This window comes from Homo sapiens, chromosome 6 (assembly GCF_000001405.40).
Source record: "Homo sapiens chromosome 6, GRCh38.p14 Primary Assembly".
NCBI classification, from domain to species: Eukaryota; Metazoa; Chordata; class Mammalia; order Primates; family Hominidae; genus Homo; species Homo sapiens.
Genome location: NC_000006.12, coordinates 75,914,712 through 75,932,965, shown reverse-complemented (window position 1 = coordinate 75,932,965; position 18,254 = coordinate 75,914,712). Strand labels below are relative to the sequence as shown.

The following is an 18,254-nucleotide window of genomic DNA, read 5'->3' as shown; positions in this document are numbered from 1 at the left end:
ACTTTGGGAGGCCGAGGCAGGCAGATCACCTGAGGTCAGGAGTTCGAGACCAGCCTGGCCAACATGGTGAAACCCTGTTTCTACTAAAAATACAAAAATTAGCTGGGCATGGTGAAGGGCACCTGTAGGCCCAGCTACTCAAGAGGCTGAGGCAGGAGAATCGCTTGAACCTGGGAGGCGGAGGTTACAGTGAGTTGAGATGGCGCCACTGCACTCCAGCCTAGGGAATAAGAGCGAGACTCCATCTCAAAAAAAAAAGGAAGAAACAAATATTGGTATGGCCTACCCATGAATAAGTTCATTATTCTAAGGAAAAATGTCTTTGGGATATGGCAGATAAAGAAAATGATAACAACATAGGGAAAATTTTGCTTACAAAAGTTCTACTAGTTAAACTTTCATTCATCTATCATAGAGCCAATCTTTTCTATCCCTTCCATGGCTCTGTCTCCCCAGAATCAGCCCACATCCATTTTTCAGTCTTTGCCTAAAGCTTAAAGTTTTGGGTGTTCCTTGAAAAATTACATGAAAGTAAAGAGGGTCATCAAAATACCTAGGGAAAATATTTTTAAGGTAATAAGAGTGGAAGCAGTGTGAGTTGCTCTACAAATTACTGTTATAAATTCTCTCGTTTTGACTCTAATTCTAATTGCCTTCACCTGCCGTATTAGCAAAGAGGGCCAATATATTAGCAAAGTGGTCCAATAGCTCCCCCTTGGGGCTCTGCCCTTCCCTGGAACTTCTCACACATTCCACGAAGGGATGGCCGTGAGACCAGTCAGAGGACTGTATAGCATTATCTGTACGCATTTTCCCCTAAATTTCTTGGAAGAATGGCTTTACTGTTGCCTGTTCCCTAGCTCTTTGCACATAATAGTTATTTGGTTAAAGAATAATCTGAAAAGTAAATGGCTGATATGGTTGAACAGGAGACCTTCTGGGGCAGAAACAACAGTGGTCTGATGACAAGAGGCCTGTTCTGGTTCTGCCATCAGCCCTTGAGGACTCCGGTCAGTTGCTTCTCTACTGAGAGCTCAATGTGCTCAGCTCTATAAGGATAAGGAAGGGCAAACAGGGGCCACTGGCCTTCCAGAGCTAAATATCTGAGATTCTCTTGATTTCTAATCCACTTCCCAAAGAATTGGAGACAACCCTATAGAATTAGGAATGGAGTAAAATAGAACAATTAATGACAAGAAAGAAGTGAGTCTAAATGTTAATAGGGAAGAAATAATTAATCCAAAAGAATGACTCTCTAACATTAGGGCCTTAGCAAGAGACCAAGAGAAATTTATATTTAAAATCAGGAAATCATCCTGAGTTCTCAAAACTGTTCACATAAATGATGACTTAATGCTTTATAAATGCTTACTTAAAAAAAAAAAACTAAGTAACAAAACATTCCTAATTCTCTAATGCAGTGGTTTTCAAAATGTGCTCCCCAGACCAGATGCATCAGCATCACCGGGAACTGCTTTAGAGCCAGAACTCAGTCCCCATTCCACGCTGCTTGCACAGGAACTCTGAGTGTGGGGCTCAGGAATCTGTTTTAACAAGGCCTCCAGACGATTCTGATGCACACTAAAGGTTGTAAATAATTACATTTGGAGCTAAACTAATATCACTTGTGTCTGTAAATTCATTTTTCAAAGATACAGAATGTGGTTCTTTTCCCTCCAGTCTGATATCACAACTGTGCAACCCACTCCAAAATGAGGTAATAGCAAATGTATTTGGTCTCTTGCCTTTGACTGCTGCCAGTTCCATTGCTTAGCTATTCATACATGCGTTAAAATCTGCCCCATTTCTTACAGCTGATCAAGCAGATCCCTGCAAGTTCCTGGCCTGCGGCGAATTTGCCCAATGTGTAAAGAACGAACGGACTGAGGAAGCGGAGTGTCGCTGCAAACCAGGATATGACAGCCAGGGGAGCCTGGACGGTCTGGAACCAGGCCTCTGTGGCCCTGGCACAAAGGAATGCGAGGTCCTCCAGGGAAAGGGAGCTCCATGCAGGTGGGTCAAGCATGCTAACGTCACAGACTCAAGAACTCATTACTTACACTTCTGAGAAACCCATCATTAGAGTAAATTCATATGGTCCTTTCAACCCATGGTTTTTAAACTTTAGTGAGTGTAGAAATCACCCAGAAAAGGGCCTGTTAAAACAACATGGCTGCACCCTACTATGCCCTGTTTCTGATTCAGTAGGTCTGGATGGGGCTCAGGTAGGGCTGATGCTGCTGGTCCTAGGACCCCACTTTGAGAACCCTGCTCTAGGCTTCCCGGCAAGGGTTCCTTAAGACCAATAGGGAAGGAAGAAAGAACCTGTATCAGTTTTAAAAGACTGAATACTTGGTCTACTACCTTAATTGGGGATGTATTTGTGCATAAAATTTGATTTTTCCTGTTAGCAAACATAATAGCTTTCATCATAAGAAAGCTGGGAAATATAGAAAATTACGAGAAAAAAAGATAAAAATCCTGTTAATTCAACACATTATCTTTTGGTGTTCCTGTTTATATAAAAATGAAAATCAGTTAATTCCACACATTAACAGTTATCTTTTGGTGTTCATGTTTATGTACAATTGATTTATAAGGAATTTTCTAAAGCACAATAGAAACAGACTTTCTCGTTTTATAGTCCTCTTTTTTTAACTTAGAATGTTTCCCCATGTCATGAAATATTTTTGTAGCATCATTTTTAGTGATTACATAACAGTCCATTCTCTAGATGTGTTATGATGTGTTTAATCATTCCTTCATTTCCAGACAGAAAGGGTAAGAGAAGCTTTTGAGAAGGAGGAAAAGGAGGCAAGATACAAAGGCCTCTCTATTCAGGAACCAGACTTTAGAGTGTTATGAAGGTGGCCTTATGAGCAGAAAGGGACCAGGAAAGTTTCTATATAATGCAACCTATATTACAGACAAAGGATGAACATCCACATGTATTAATAAAGACAAACATCCTAATTTTTTTTTCAAACACAAACTCATACATTCATTAATGAGGTAACTAATTTTCCACAAGGGTGCCAAGACAATTGAGTGGAGAAAGAATAGTCTTTTTCAACAAATGGTCCTGTGTGTGACAACCAGATATCCACGTGAAAAGAATGAATTTGGACCCCTAACACCACATACAAAAATTAACTCAAAATAGATCAAAGGCCTAAATGTCCAGCTAGGATTATGAAACCCTTTTTTTTTTAATTTACTTTAATTTTATTTTATTTCCCGTTTTTCTTTTTTTTAATTTTATTATTATTATACTTTAAGTTTTAGGGTACATGTGCACAACATGCAGGTTTGTTACATATGTATACATGTGCCATGCTGGTGTGCTGCACCCATTAACTCATCATTTAGCATTAGGTATATCTCCTAATGCTATCCCTCCCCCCTCCCCCCACCCCACAACAGTCCCCTGTGTGTGATGTTCCCCTTCCTGTGTCCATGTGTTCTCATTGTTCAATTCCCACCTATGAGAACATGCAGTGTTTGGTTTTTTGTCCTTGTGATAGTTTGCTGAGAATGACAAACATCCTAATATTAAAATGAGCAAAAAATACAGAGGTGCAATTCATAGAAGAAACCCACATGACCAGCAAAATACAGAAGATACTGGATCTCACTATCATCAGGGAAATCCAAAAACAATTAGGAGATATCATTTGAATTTGGCAAAAGGAGATTGATGATACTCAGTGTGGGAATATGGAGGAAAGCTAGATCCATCAAGCATTGCTGGTGGATGTACAAATTGGAAAAGCCTTTTTTCAAAAGAAATTTGTCATTATCTATAAAATTTTAAATTTGACTCAGGTACTCTACTTTTAGACAATTATTTCTACAAGAATAGTTGTACCTGTGCACCAAGATATGCTTACAAAAATGTTCACAGCATTACTGCTTTGAGTCATGAAACAATTGTATAGCCCATCAATAGGGAAATGGTTAGAGTACAGTACATTACTGTGAAACATGGCAGCTAAAGGCAATAATATATATAACTCTACTGGAGCTGCCATAGACGGAAAAATAACATATCATTAAATGAGAAAGCAAATTGCAGCATAAAAGATCCCGTACATGTAATAAATTAATAACAATACTGTAAGTATATTAGGTTCAACCATATGGCACTGCCATTTTGTCAGTCACAAATCATCAAATATTGGCAGTTTTGTATAGTTCGATCTAACATGTAAGTAAATTCATAATAAAAATGTGGAATAGATACACAACTATCACTCCAGTTAACAATGGAATGGAGTGAAATTGAGGTCCAGGATTTTTAATAATGAGAATCTGTTCATGTATCACTTGTGTACATTTTTTTTAGGCTAGTCAAGTACAGTAGTAAGAAGAGGGAAAGAAATAGCACAAGCATTTCCATCTGCAATTGACTGTAAACAATCAGTTGAGAGAATTCACTATGTTCAGACCAGCCAACATGTGTAATTTAAAAGAAGGGTTGGGCTGGGAGTCGTAATCCCAGCACTTCAGGAGGCCGAGGTGGGCAGATCACCTGAGGTCAGGAGTTGGAGACCAGCCTGGCCAACATGGTGAAACCCTGTCTCTACAAAAACACAAAAATTAGCCAGGCATGATGGCGCATGCCTGTAATCCCAGCTACTCTGGAGGCTGAGGCAGGAGAATCACTTGAACCCAGGAGGTGGAGGTTGCAGTGAGCCAAGATCACGCCATTGCACTCCAGCCTGGGCGACAGAGCAAGACTCCATCTCAAAAAAAAAAGAAAGAAAGAAAGAAAGGTTGAGGGGTGGGAAGAAAGGGCCAATGAACAGGCTGGATTAAAGTGAATAAGAAGAGGGTTGCATGCGGCTTTTGTGAACAGGAATGTATTCCGTTTTCATTTTAATCAGCCCTATTTGCTATTTCAGATGGCTGTACAATTCGTAATTTTAAACATTTCTCTTTCTTTAGTGAGAAAGATCACTTTAATTCTAGGTTGTCGTAAGTGAGATCAGTAAAGCAAGGCATAAGGTGATCTGGAAATAAACACCTCTCAAAAAGGTTGGTGGTGCTCTACTTCCTCCACCTGTGCCTGTCTCTGGGGCATAACATGGACTTGAGGGATTCAAATACATTGAAAAATTGACGCTCCTTAGACTAATGGAATGAAATGAACATTTTTGAGCACCATGTGCCAGGCACCCTGCTAGATGCTGGGCAATAGATGAGAGGAAGTGGGGAAGGAAGAAAGGGAGGGAGGGAGGGAGGGAGGGAAAGATGCTTAATTTCTTCAGGAAGAAGGGAGAAATGCCCTTATTACCCCAATTTTGCCCTTTTCAACTTCCTGAATATTCCTTTTTAAATGTTAAGTATTAACCCCTGATACCCTCAGCATGAGGACAAACCCGTTGCCCCTATGAGCTACTTCAGACAGACTCTCAGTGAAGAAACGGGACCACAGCAGTGCTCTGAGGGTCCCTTGTGCATCTCCGTGACCTGCTTCTCCTCCCATCAGTTATTTCTGTTCATCCCAAGATGCTATCATTTATGTGATGAAATTTATTTATATAAGGATTAGCTGACAAATTAAAACCCAATCAACCATAGATTAGACCCTGGTTACAATTAGAGGTTTTAAAGTTAGACCCAAATTTAAGTTAAGAGCTCTGCCCCCTACTAGGTATGACTTTAAGCCAGTTCCCCACCCCCTGCCCTTAAGCTTCAAATTTCTCATCTATCTAATGGGAATAACAGGAATAAATTCATGGTTTTTGGTAAGGAATAAATTAGATGCCCCTCAGTGTAAGCTACTCACTACTAGCATTATTGGAGCTGTTTCTGTCAACAAAGGGCAGCCCTGTAAGGAAAAACTAAGAATCCCTACCTGGCACTTAAACCTAAACTCAGAAGCAAATCCATGAGAACACCAAGTGCTGCAACTTTGAAAACAGCGTTCTCTAAAGAACTGTAAATTTAGCTGCGTTTTTGTTATTCTACCTGAAAGTGATGAGATAGGGAAATGATACTGAAGGCAGGTGCCCTCCTGAGAAGACTACCATTGACACACAAAGAGCAGTTTCCATTGCTTCAGTTACTTGTCATTGTTTCTCATTACATTTTCACCTTTATTTTTCCTTCTATTCTTTTCCTCCATCCAATATTTGTAACTATACTCCATATATTTTTACATTTCCCTCAAGTTTAGATGTTGTATACATAGATTCTGCCATGCTAGGAACTTACTTCAAACTTCCTTTTTTTGGTGTAATCAGTTAGGCTTTTATTACTCACAATTATCAGTATACATACACAAAAAATGCAAATCTAAATCTAACAGAGTAGATTCTGACTTTTCCTTCTCAGGCCTTAACATTCTCACTTTTGTCCTTTAATTTCATAGGCCTACTATGCTGTGACATTACTCATAATAATGAAAATTGTTTCTAAATATAGGGGACAGTTTCAGTAAATGATGGTACACAGTGACATTTATGAGGATGTTTTAATCATATCAAAGTGCTTGTTGTAACCGCAGCAAAGTCACAGGTTCACTCACATGCTACACCTCAAATGGAGAAAAGGAGGTCTAGTTTTTTTCCCTCTGGATAGTTGTTACCAACTCCCTTTGGAGCTCTTTCTCCACTGAATAGTGGGAAGGTTCGGTTACGGGGGAGGTTTGTAGGAGGAAGGGGTTGGAATTTTATATAGTCCAATTTAATGTAGTTCAAACTTCCACCTGATTAATAATTTGAGCAATCACTTTAGACAACTCAGTTCGCTTGGAACATACAGTGAGGTATGGCTCTCCTGGTCTTGACAGTTCTCCTGGAAGTTTTCTAGTTCCATATTCCCCTCACCTGTGATCTCTTAGTTCTGATCCCAGGCATCTGCCCCTTCCCTGGCATTCTCAAAGCCTCCAAATCTCCCAACCAGGACAAATAGGAACCGAAAATGCTGCCTTAGGTGGTGGGATGGGGAACAAGGAACTTGTTACTCAACTTCCTTTAAACAAATAAATAAATACAGGCCTGGCACAGTGGCTCACGCCTGTAATCCCAGCACTTTGGGAAGCCGAGGTGGGTGATCACCTGAGGTCAGGAGTTCGAGACCATCCTGGCCAACATGGTGAAACCCTGTCTCTACTAAAAATACAAAAATTAACTGGGCGTGGTGGCATGTGCCTGTAATCTCAGCTACTCCGGAGGCTGAGGCAGGAGAATCGCTTGAACCTGGGAGATGGAGGTTGCAGTGAGCCAAGATCATGCCACTGCACTCCAGCCTGGGTGACAGAGCGAGACTGTCTCAAAACAAACAAACAAATAAAAAACACAGATAGGGTCTCACTGTGTTGCCCAGGCTGGTCTCGAACTCCTTGGCTCAAGCAATCCTCCCACCTCAGCCTACCAAAGTGCTGGTATTATAGGTATGAGCCACCGCACCTGGCCTCAACCTCCTTAAACTATATTTTTCCTCCTCTCTCCTCTGCCTTCTTCCCATGAGCACTAGGACTGAAATTTTCTGTCCTTCTCCATTTCCCTGAAATTGTAATAAATTGATGTTGAGAGAAAGAAAAAAGTTGAATAAGGGAATATATATATATAGGAAGATAGCTCCTAAATATTATACCCATTTTATAATGCAAAGAGGAAAAACACAAAATGCAAAATGCATATACACTATCAACAGAAATTATGTATATAGAAAGGTCTAAAAATATTTATTTTATTTAAAAAAATTTAACTGACACACAATTGTACATATTTATGGGGTACAATGTGATATTTCAATACATGTATACATTGTGCAATGATCAAATCAGGGTAATTAGCATTCCCATCATCTCAAACATTTATCTTTTCTTTGTAGTAAAAACATTCAAAATCCTCTCTTCTAGCTATTTTGAAATATACAACTACAGTCATCCTACTGTGCAATAGGACACCAGAACTTATCCCACCTACCTAATTGTAACTTTGTACCCACTGACCAATCTCTCTCCATGATACCCTCCTCCCTCCCCTCCCCAGTCTCTGGTAACTACTGTTCTATTTTGTATTTCTATAAGATCAGCTTTTTAAATTCCACGAGTGAGAGCTTGCAGTATTTGTCTGTGTCTGGCTTATTTCACTTAATATAATGTCTTCCAGGTTCATCCATGTTGTGGCAAATAACAGGATTTCATCCTTTTTATGACTTAATAGTATTCTATTATATATATTATATATAATTATATGATATATTATATATTATATATTATATATAATTATATTATATATTATATATTATATATAATTATTTATATATAATATATAATATATAATTTATTATATATTATATATAATTAATTATATATAATATATAATTTATTATATATTATATATAATTAATTATATATAATATATAATTATATTAATTATATATAATATATAATTATATTAATTATATTATATAATTATATTATAATATATAATTATATTAATTATATTATATAATTATATTATATTATAATATATAATTATATTTATATTATATAATTATGTTATATTATATAATTATATTAATTATATATTATATATAATTATATATAATTTTTTATATATGTAATACATATATATCACAATTTATCCATTCATCCACTGATGAACAACAGGTTGACTCCAAATCTTGAGTATTATGAATAGTGCTGCAATATACATGGGAGTGCAGATATCTCTTTGATATACTGATTTCATTTTCTTTGGATAGATATCCAGTAGTGGGATTGCTCGATCATATGGTAGTCCTATTTTTAATTTCTTTAGGAACCTACAGATGGTTTTCCATAATGACTACTAATTTATATTCCCACCATCAGGGCATAAAGGTTCCCTTTTCTCCACATCCTCGATAACATTTGTTATCTTTTGGCTTTTTGATAATAGCCATTCTAACTGGAATAAGGTGACAGTTTATTGTGGTTTAAATTTTATTAACAATATGCCATTACAGAGTTGTTTTTCAGCAACCACAACTCAGAACTTGACTTGAGAAATAAATCTATGTTTTGTAATCCTTCCATCCTTCTGAGACCACTGCCTAAGAAATAGTAAGCCAACTAAAAGGCAAAAGTCAGGGGAAATGCTGAAAGCACACTTCTTCCAACTCAAACGGAAGACACCTGCAAAAATATGCTATCTATTTTCACTTGTCATGATGTTAAAACTAAAACAGTAGAAAGATGTAGTTACTATTAATGTTGATAAGCCCAAGAAACAAGATACTATGTTTTTGCTTTCTTTTGTAGGTTGCCAGATCACTCTGAAAATCAAGCATACAAAACTAGTGTTAAAAAGTTCCAAAATCAACAAAATAACAAGGTAAAATCATACTTTCTAAGTTGGTTGCAATTACTAAACTTGACTTTTGAAGGAAATTAAAAACATTTATGTCCCTCTTATTTTAAATAGAGATAAGCAAGATACTTTTTATTTTTAATTTACTGTTTTAAGGGGGTGACATTTTCTAGTGCAAGGATAGAGTCAGAAGGCTGGGATTAACCAAAATGTGTAGATAAAACAACAGAATAACAAAATCAATCCAAGTATTTTATAATATTTCCAATCTTTTCTTATAAAAATATACAGGTAATTTATCAAATGTATTTTAAGGTTGAAATCTTTACAGTAATAATTTATATTCCTGGCATTGAATAATTTTATATACTTTCAATTTCAAATAATAATCAGCTAAAGGAAAAATATGTAGAAAATATGAAGAAACATCATTTGTGAACAATGAGTAACTTCAAAAATTCGTAAAAGTTCATCTTCAGATGTTTTTCAGTGTCCAAGACATCTCTTAAAATATTCACTTAATCAACTTATTTTACTAAAATAATTTTATTTTACAAAGGAAAATAACTTGTCTATAAGCAATTTATATATAGTTGACATAGTTTTTTAAAATAACTTTGGGGGAAAAAACCTTGGACAATCTTTAGCCTAAAACTACCCATTTTCAAAAATTATAGTCTTTGATAGAAACAATTGGTGATAATCAGCCAATGTCTACTTTATCTAAAGTCTACAGTGCTGGATAAAAAAAAAATGCCTCAAAGTTTGCACCTACAAAAGTTATCATAGTTAATATATGATAAGGATACTGGGGAAATCACACCAAATGCTAATAATAATTTTATGTATCCAAGTGCACACTGGGAATGTGTGCCACTTTGGTTTCCTGAAACAAAGAAAATTGGAAAAACAGAAAAAGTTTAGACTAGGGCCATAAAATGACAATAGGACACAGGATCTGATATTGACAAAATGTCCAACTAAATCCCGAAGTACCAGATAGAATTATGGATCACATTTCAAATAAATAAAAGGAAGTGATAATTTTCACAGTAGGAAGTAAACTTGAAGAACTACATCTTAGTTCAAGGCCAGAACAAGTATCAATGCTGATTATTCCTGGCTATGTGGATTTCTGTGTTGACAGACATTCAGAGGACACATGGGTTCCCTGAGGAAGCATGCTATAATACACTAATGGTGTCTACTATGGTTGGATGGGAAAATGGTGACTCATTCACAGACTATCTGCCACTCCTGCTCTATGAGATGGGTCAGCCTGAGAATCTAAATAGGCTTAAGAGGGCATGGAGTACATTTCTAGTAGGTTATAAAGTTAAGAATATTTTGAGGCCATCTTCAACATTTCAAAGAAGATGTCATAAATGGCAAGCACATCCTCTTATCTACCAGTGGCAGTAATATTGGAATGAACCATTGGTTTGACCTTGGGTGGCATTTCTTAAGTTCTTAAAACTATTTCTCTTTCAGGTAATCAGTAAAAGAAATTCTGAATTACTGACCGTAGAATATGAAGAATTTAACCATCAAGATTGGGAAGGAAATTAAAAACTGAAAATGTACAATTATCATTTAGGCTATCTCAAGAGAGATGATTTGCCTTCTCAAGGAAAATGGAGACAGGCATATTCATGGGTCATCAAAATCCAGACATACAGTCAACACTGAGAATCAGCACACACCATATTTCAAATATAGAAGAGTCATGTACTTGGCAACCAGTAAATTCTGAAGAAAAAGACACTTACTTATTATTAAAACCCCAAATGCAATCAGCGAAACATATTTTTACTATTCTTGGATGATAGTCAAAATGATCATAAGCCAGGTTTGCTTCCACCTTCCCTGAAAATTTTACTCACAGATCATTTGCAACAAGCATAGCTTACTTATTGTTTAGGGACTGAACAATTTATTGGGAAGCAAACTCTTTATATGCTAGAAAGTACATTTAAAAGATGACTACTTACGCAGGGAGATGCAGGTCTCTCTAAACGCATGAATGTATGTAGTGTGTAGGCACTGTAGTGAGTGTATATATGCTCCACACTACGTCTGATAAACACAAACCTCAGTATTCAGTTATTAGGCACACTAGTTTTATACGCAACTACTGCTTACATAGTAGACTGTTTTGTTGCCAATAATCTTTGAATTGTTCTTTAAAAGAAACTGAGGTTCAGATACACATACCATGGAAAAATCTTACTTTTCTTGTTACTACACAAAGCTATTTTAAAGAAGATGCTATGTTGGGAGAAGGGCGAAGTTGTACTATATGACATAATCAATTCCTGTCTTCCACCACAGATGAACAATGTCTTCCTATAATAACTTCAGAATATTTCCTCACACCAACTTTAGTGTGTGTATACCTAGACTGGCATCAATGTAATCCAATTCAGTCCATTTTTTATGTGCTGCTTAATGAAAATGAATCTGTCTCTATCTCTTTCAAATGTTCTAATATCAGATATATTTGCTACAAACCTTAATTTCAATAAAGTAAAAGTGATATACTCATAGGTTTTTTAATGAGCCTTTGTTTTAGTAGATAGTCTTTAGATTTGTTTTATGTATTCAATAAATGATTTTAAGCATGAAAATTTTAATGCTGCCAAAAGACAACAAAATAGTAAACACAAAGAGCAACATATAACATTAAGCTTCAAAAATAAAAACAGGCTGGGCACAGTGGCTCACACCTGTAATCTCAGCACTTTGGGAGGCCAAGGCAGGTGGGTCACTTGAGGTCACAAGTTTGAGACCAGCCTGGGCAACATGGCAAAACCCCGTCTCTACTAAAAATACAAAAATTAGCTGGGTGTGGCAGCACGTGACTGCAGTCCCAGTTACTCAGGAGGCTGAGGCAGGAGAATCGCTTGAACCCAGGAGGTGGAGGTTGCAGTAAGCCAAGATCACGCCACTGCACTCCAGCCTGGGCAACAGAGTGAGACTGTGTCTCAAACACACACACACACATACACACACACACATAAAAACAAAATGTTCTTAATAATGGAGACAATTTTTTGGGAAGTGGTAGTGCCCCATGAGGGTTACAAACCCTCACAAACACCTAGCTTTCATCACCATTCCCATACCAATCCTGTCTTCCACCACAGATGAACAATGTCGTCCTATAATAACTTCAATGACTACTTCCTCACACTAACTTTGGTGTGTGCATACCAAAGTGAAGATCTATAATGTGAGACAAGGACTTCAAGGTGAAATATGATGACAAGGTGCCACAGAACAAAGAATGGTGGCAAGAGGTTACCTACCCACTTCCATATCCCTGGAACTTCACAAAGGAAAACAAATGATAGAAGCATGATAGGCTGACCAAAAGTACATGAAAACATTTCATCAGGAGAAACAAGGATCTATCACTATCACTCCTGTATAATGTAGTCCTCACCCCCTACATTCCCTATACTACTTGTGCTCTAACTAGTATAGGAAATGTAGTTTTCTATGGAGAAAGAGAAGGAGGTAAAAGCCCTATATTCTGTGGGGAGGGTCCCATTTTGTGGTAAGTGTCTCTCACTCCTTGGATCACCCCTCTTTTGGGTTGGTCTTTTCCAACCAGCCAGGGAAGAGCTGATGAGGTGAGATGGACAGAGTCTCCTTCCACTCTCAGAGGACCCAGCAGGATCATGGTAGGTTCTTGACACAGGGAATGGACCAGCTATATTCAAGGCCTTAGGGAGAAGGAGCCTTCTTTTGGTCCCCAGTTTTTACATCCTGTGTCTTCTCACAGATTAGTAACGGTCTGGAGAAAGGCAGCCAAAATTTGGTGTGTCTCTAATCTCTACAAAATGAGTAGCTGTCACTCACACAGAATCCTGCCTGTTTCCTGGATGGAGATCACATAGGAAATTTGGGGCCTATGTCCAAAGAAGTTTCAATCACCTTGAGTTCCTTGCTTCTTCCTGCAGCCACCTAACACAGTGCTTCCAGCCCTAGCGACTGGATCAAGCTTCAGGAGCCCAGAATTCGCCAACTTATTCCATCTGAAACACGGCAATAAGTGCAACATTTACAACCTGTTCATGACACCCTGTAATGGTATTAAAAGCACAAGATGCAAGTGGAAATTCTACACAGGGAGCATTTATTTATTTGTATTTCCAGTACATCAATTTTTAGAGAAAGCATTAGATATACACTTTTAATGAAATGAGGAAAAATTAATTGACAGTTTGACTAGATGAATTTTCATAAGTAAAAAGAAAACACCCAACTAATAAGCCTGTGATTTAAAGGTGAGATGCTACTTGGTACAAATTAGGATTGAATGTGTAGATATGGACATAAAGAGTGGAATAACCGACATTGGAGACTCCAGAAAGTGGGAGGCTGAGAAAAGGTTTAGGGATGAAAAATTACCTACTGGGCACAATGTATGCTTCTCTGGGTGTTAGGTACACTAAAAGCCCACATTTTACCACTATGCAATATACCCATGTAACAAAACTGCACTTGTACCCCCTAAATCTATTTTATTTTTTGAGATGGAATTTCGCTCTTGTTGCCCAGGATGGAGTGCAATGGCGCCATCTCGGCTCCCTGCAACCTCTGCCTCCCGCGTTCAAGTGATTCTCCTGCCTCAGCCTCCCAAGTAGCAGGGATTACAGGCACCCACTACCACGCCTGGCTAATGTTTTGTATTTTTAGTAGAGACAGGGTTTCACCATGTTGGCCAGGCTGGTCTCGAAGTCTTGACCTCGTGATCCACCCGCCTCGGCCTCCCAAAGTGCTGGGATTACAGGCGTGAGCCACCGCGCCCAGCCCTAAATCTATTTTTAAAAAAACAAATTTGTACTGAAGATTCTCCTTTTGAATGTGCATTAATTTTTCCTGATCATCTCTTGAAAAACTTCTGAGACAGCTAAGCTTGTTTCATATATTAGGTTAGCAATGGGGAAAGAATACAGTGATTTGAATTGAACTAAAGCGTACTCAGAGAAGTGCTCCCAGCAGAGTAGGTGCTACTTCTGCCAGTCTCTCCATCTTACCCTTCCATGAGGCTTATGTACAGAATGCCTATTTACTGCTGACCTTCTCCAGTATGGCAGTGCCATTCCTATGTGCTAAGAATGTATACACCGGGCATATCTTGATCCAAGTTTTAATAACCATACGTTCTGATCCTATAAATTACACATTATTCATTCTAAAATTTCGTAGAGATCTAGGAGTGCTCTGTGTCCTAAAATGTATCAGTGTTTCCAAACTGGGGGTGCAGAATCTTTAGGGGCACACAACCTGTCTCTTCCACTGTTGCTCTTCTCTTTCCTTATTGTTACAACTGTTTCCCCCCCTCTAACATGTCCTTATTCTCATGTTTAGATATCCTTTGCCCTCCCCTTCCATCCTTGTTAGTTTATCTTCTGGGAGAAATTTTAAAACTCTCAATACTTGTTATTATTGGTAATGATAAATAGGGAAAACCTGTCACACCTTCTGAAGTTGTGGAATGACAGAGAGGCAACCCTTTGTAAATCCACAGGTGCCACTAAAAAGTGTTTGTTTTGGTTCTTTTTGTTACATATGATTGCAGCAAAGGCTTTGATATATTTTTCAGTCTACAACTAAATTACTTGACCTCTCTGGATCTGTTACCTCTTCCATAAAAGGAGGCAGGTCTATCACTAACATCATATTAATTGGCTGACTGATTGATTCAATAAATATTTATTCTACTGATCCAAGTACTCTTAAGCTACTTCAGGTAAAAAAAAAAACCAATGATCTACATATTTGGATCGCTGAGAACCATAGTAATGACCTGTGAATGAAAATGTCTTTTAAAAAATATCCAATTAATAAAGCTCTACAAACAATACCATTATTCTTGCCTGTGGATTGCTATTCTCTAAGTGTTCACAACCACCACTGATTTTCCACTTAAGATGTTCTTTCCTTGGTTGCTTGCAAAACAAAATGGTTCACAAGAATGACCTATGAAAAGTCATTACAGAAGCAGAATGAGCATAACAATAGAATGCCTTTGTGTGGCCCTGTGCTCCTACATGCACTGTTTTGTTTCTTCCTCATATTTTCACAATCCTCTGAGAAGGTGCCATCTCCCCAACTTTACAACTAAGAAAACTCAATATTCTCTTAACATACGTGGATTAGAGTAACTTCCTTTTCTCAATTAGTTCCCATAACTCATAATACATATCTCAACTGTGTTACCACAATTAGGAATTATATTAAAATTGAATCAAATGTGAAAACATTCTGTCCTCTCATTTTAAATATTTTATGCATGCTGCCTTTGCAAAGCATATGCTATGGAAAGAACTGGTATTAAGAAAAGATTAGTTCTTTATATATAGTGGTTTAAACTTCTAATTTTAAATCTCAGTTAAAATGATTAAAATATGAGTGAATTTACTTTTGATTTCCACAGTTTTAACCTGGCATGCATGGGCTTGACTGTGAACATGGTAAAGCAGCTGCATGAACATCATTTAGGACACCACTCCTGCTGTTTCCTTTAAAAGGCTGACAGGGTCCTAAGTTTCTCCAGCAAAGGGGTGTCTGTGTGTATGTGCATCTACTGTACGTAGGTTACTGTAAATCTATCTGAATTAGGGCAGTTGCCCTGCTGGCCAAAATTAACTCAGGAAACTATTTTAAATAGATAAGTTCTAGGACAGCTGTGTGACATGATTAGAAACATTATGGCTTAAGATTAACTATAATTGTATTAACTATTAGAGTCAAAAACTAAGGACTTATAACAACCCTTTGCTGTGATACATTTCTTACAAATTTCTGAAACATTAGATTCTCTCATTTAAATATGTTTAACTCTTTAATTTTCCATCTAGTGCCTATTAATGTATCTAAAAGATACACAAAACTATTGTACTAAAGAGACATGTCATTAAAAAACAATTTGGCTACTAAATTTTGTTCAAGAACTTTACTCACTACTGGTTAGGAAAAAAGCTTATCATTCACTATCCTACACAAATAAAAACACCAGTTAAAGGCGAGAGATGGAAGAGAGAGAATAGGTCATTTACTTCAGTAGCTACACCTTCTGTCCCCAATCACAGGGACGAAATGACCCGAGGGTGGGTGAAGCTATGCAGTAATACAGCCTTCAAAAGATAATCACATTTGCATTCTCAATAGCACAGACACAACCATTTAATTTAACTTGACAATCATTTGAATGTATCATAATAAATAAATATTTCTCTACTAAGACATGAGAGAAGCAATTCTGAAGACAGTGTCTGTGGCTCACAAACACTAGTCAGCTGGGAAATACTTCCCTAACTGAGGTAATCTTTCTAGGGAAAAAAGAAATCACTGGAATTTCATTTCAAAGGTTAGGGTCTCTAAAAACTGGGGGAAAAAGCAGTACAGAGAATCATTTTACTTTATAATTTTATTCTAAAATACAACAAAACTCCTTAGAATTATGTCAGCATAACTCCTTGATGTATTTTTGTCTTTAAATTCCAAATGTGAAAGTCATAAATATTAGGCTTAAAGCTGCTGACATTTGAATCAATACTAACAGCACACAAAGAAAACATTTTAAAATTATCAGTTATGTAAAACAAGCACTTACTAAATACAAGGATTTCTGAATTACAAAGCTTATGAAACAGGTCTACAATTACCAAAACCTCAAAGGCCAAAAAAGACACTAGGAATTTCTTAAAAAGAAAGATGTTGGAAGCAGAACACTTACTAAATCAATGAAACAACTTGGACAAGATTCTGATACAAAAATCACTATTGAGATGAAGTTGAAAGAATATTTGAATTCAGTCCAGTTAAGCCACTATGCCACCTAAAACCTATTTCCTTTTCTAATTGAAACAAAACTTATCTCAAAACTTTTAGGCATTTAAACAATCTGAATTTCCTTTATTTTTCCACAGAATATAAAAAGAATATTCTGACAGCAACACACATTGTGCTAGCAAAGAAAAGCAAATCTGTGCTGGATACTATTAGTACCTCTTATCACAGAATACATCAAATACATTAAGGCTCTTTCTAGAATTCTAGAACTTCGAAGTGTTTCATTCAAACTAAGACACTGCAAAGGAGGAAAAAAATAGATTTTCCACCTTTAATGGAAATTTCCAAAAATGTCTGAAAATGTCTATAAAGTACACAGCTTTTCAGACCAAAACATTAGTGCCTTGATCATTTTAAGTGGTTTAGTTATTGTAAGAATGTAAGCTCATGTTTTATTACTCCAGTTATATGGTACTGTGCCATCCTTAAAAAGTATTTTGAATTTTGAAAAAAGTTCTCTTTTCCTAGAGAACAATTACGATGGATGTAAGGTAGTCTTCTGGCAAAGGATGAGAAACATCAGAATATGCCCATGTGTAATAGTTAGAGAATAATGAGAGTTTTGGGAATTACAGCGGGATACAGAAAAATAATGTTTAGGTCCAAAATTTGCTACCATAATTAACCTTAAACAAATTCACCAAAAGCCGTGATTAATAAAATCTGTTCACTTTATAGAAGTAACTCTAACATGATTATGGAATGGTTAAATCTGGGGGCACACACCCTACCTAAGTACCATGGCAAAGGCTCCCAGCTGTAAGGCTGGTGTGCAACATCTACTTTAACAGACTCTGCAGCATGGCTGTTGCATAGGTGGGCCGAGCCTGTCTGCTCTCAATCGCATTCTGAAGGTACTGGATGCCTCCACAGCGTTCCCAGATTTCTTCAAACTGTCTTGGCAAGATCTCAGCACCACGCTTCCGAGTCAGGCCAGTCTCCTCAAGATTCAGCTCACACATCTCCATGTCGTCCTTACCTGTATTCATGAGATATCAGAAAATTACCATCTCTCTCTTCAGGACCATTTCTTACCAGTTGTATGCCTGAAATACCTATTAATTCTCATAGATTTGAAAA

General features: G+C 37.1%; 2 protein-coding genes across 16 annotated transcripts in view; one reads left to right on the top strand and one right to left on the bottom strand.

The window, feature by feature from the left end:
• The window catches only part of IMPG1 (interphotoreceptor matrix proteoglycan 1), a 151,549-nt gene extending 139,697 nt beyond the window's left edge, over positions 1 to 11,852 (top strand). For both annotated transcript variants that reach the window (NM_001282368.2, NM_001563.4), the window contains 3 exons: positions 1,815 to 2,013; positions 9,260 to 9,332; positions 10,800 to 11,852. In NM_001282368.2, the coding sequence (NP_001269297.1) occupies positions 1,815 to 2,013; positions 9,260 to 9,332; positions 10,800 to 10,877 (350 nt within the window). In that variant the 3' untranslated portion in view covers positions 10,878 to 11,852. The remainder of the gene's footprint in view (positions 1 to 1,814; positions 2,014 to 9,259; positions 9,333 to 10,799) is intronic.
• The window catches only part of MYO6 (myosin VI), a 170,299-nt gene continuing 165,473 nt past the window's right edge, over positions 13,429 to 18,254 (bottom strand). For all 14 annotated transcript variants that reach the window (NR_160538.1, NM_001368865.1, NM_001368866.1 and 11 more), the window contains one exon: positions 13,429 to 18,153. Coding sequence is in view for 13 of the 14 variants with exons in the window: in NM_001368865.1 (NP_001355794.1) it covers positions 17,954 to 18,153 (200 nt within the window). In the remaining variant the exon portion in view is untranslated. The remainder of the gene's footprint in view (positions 18,154 to 18,254) is intronic.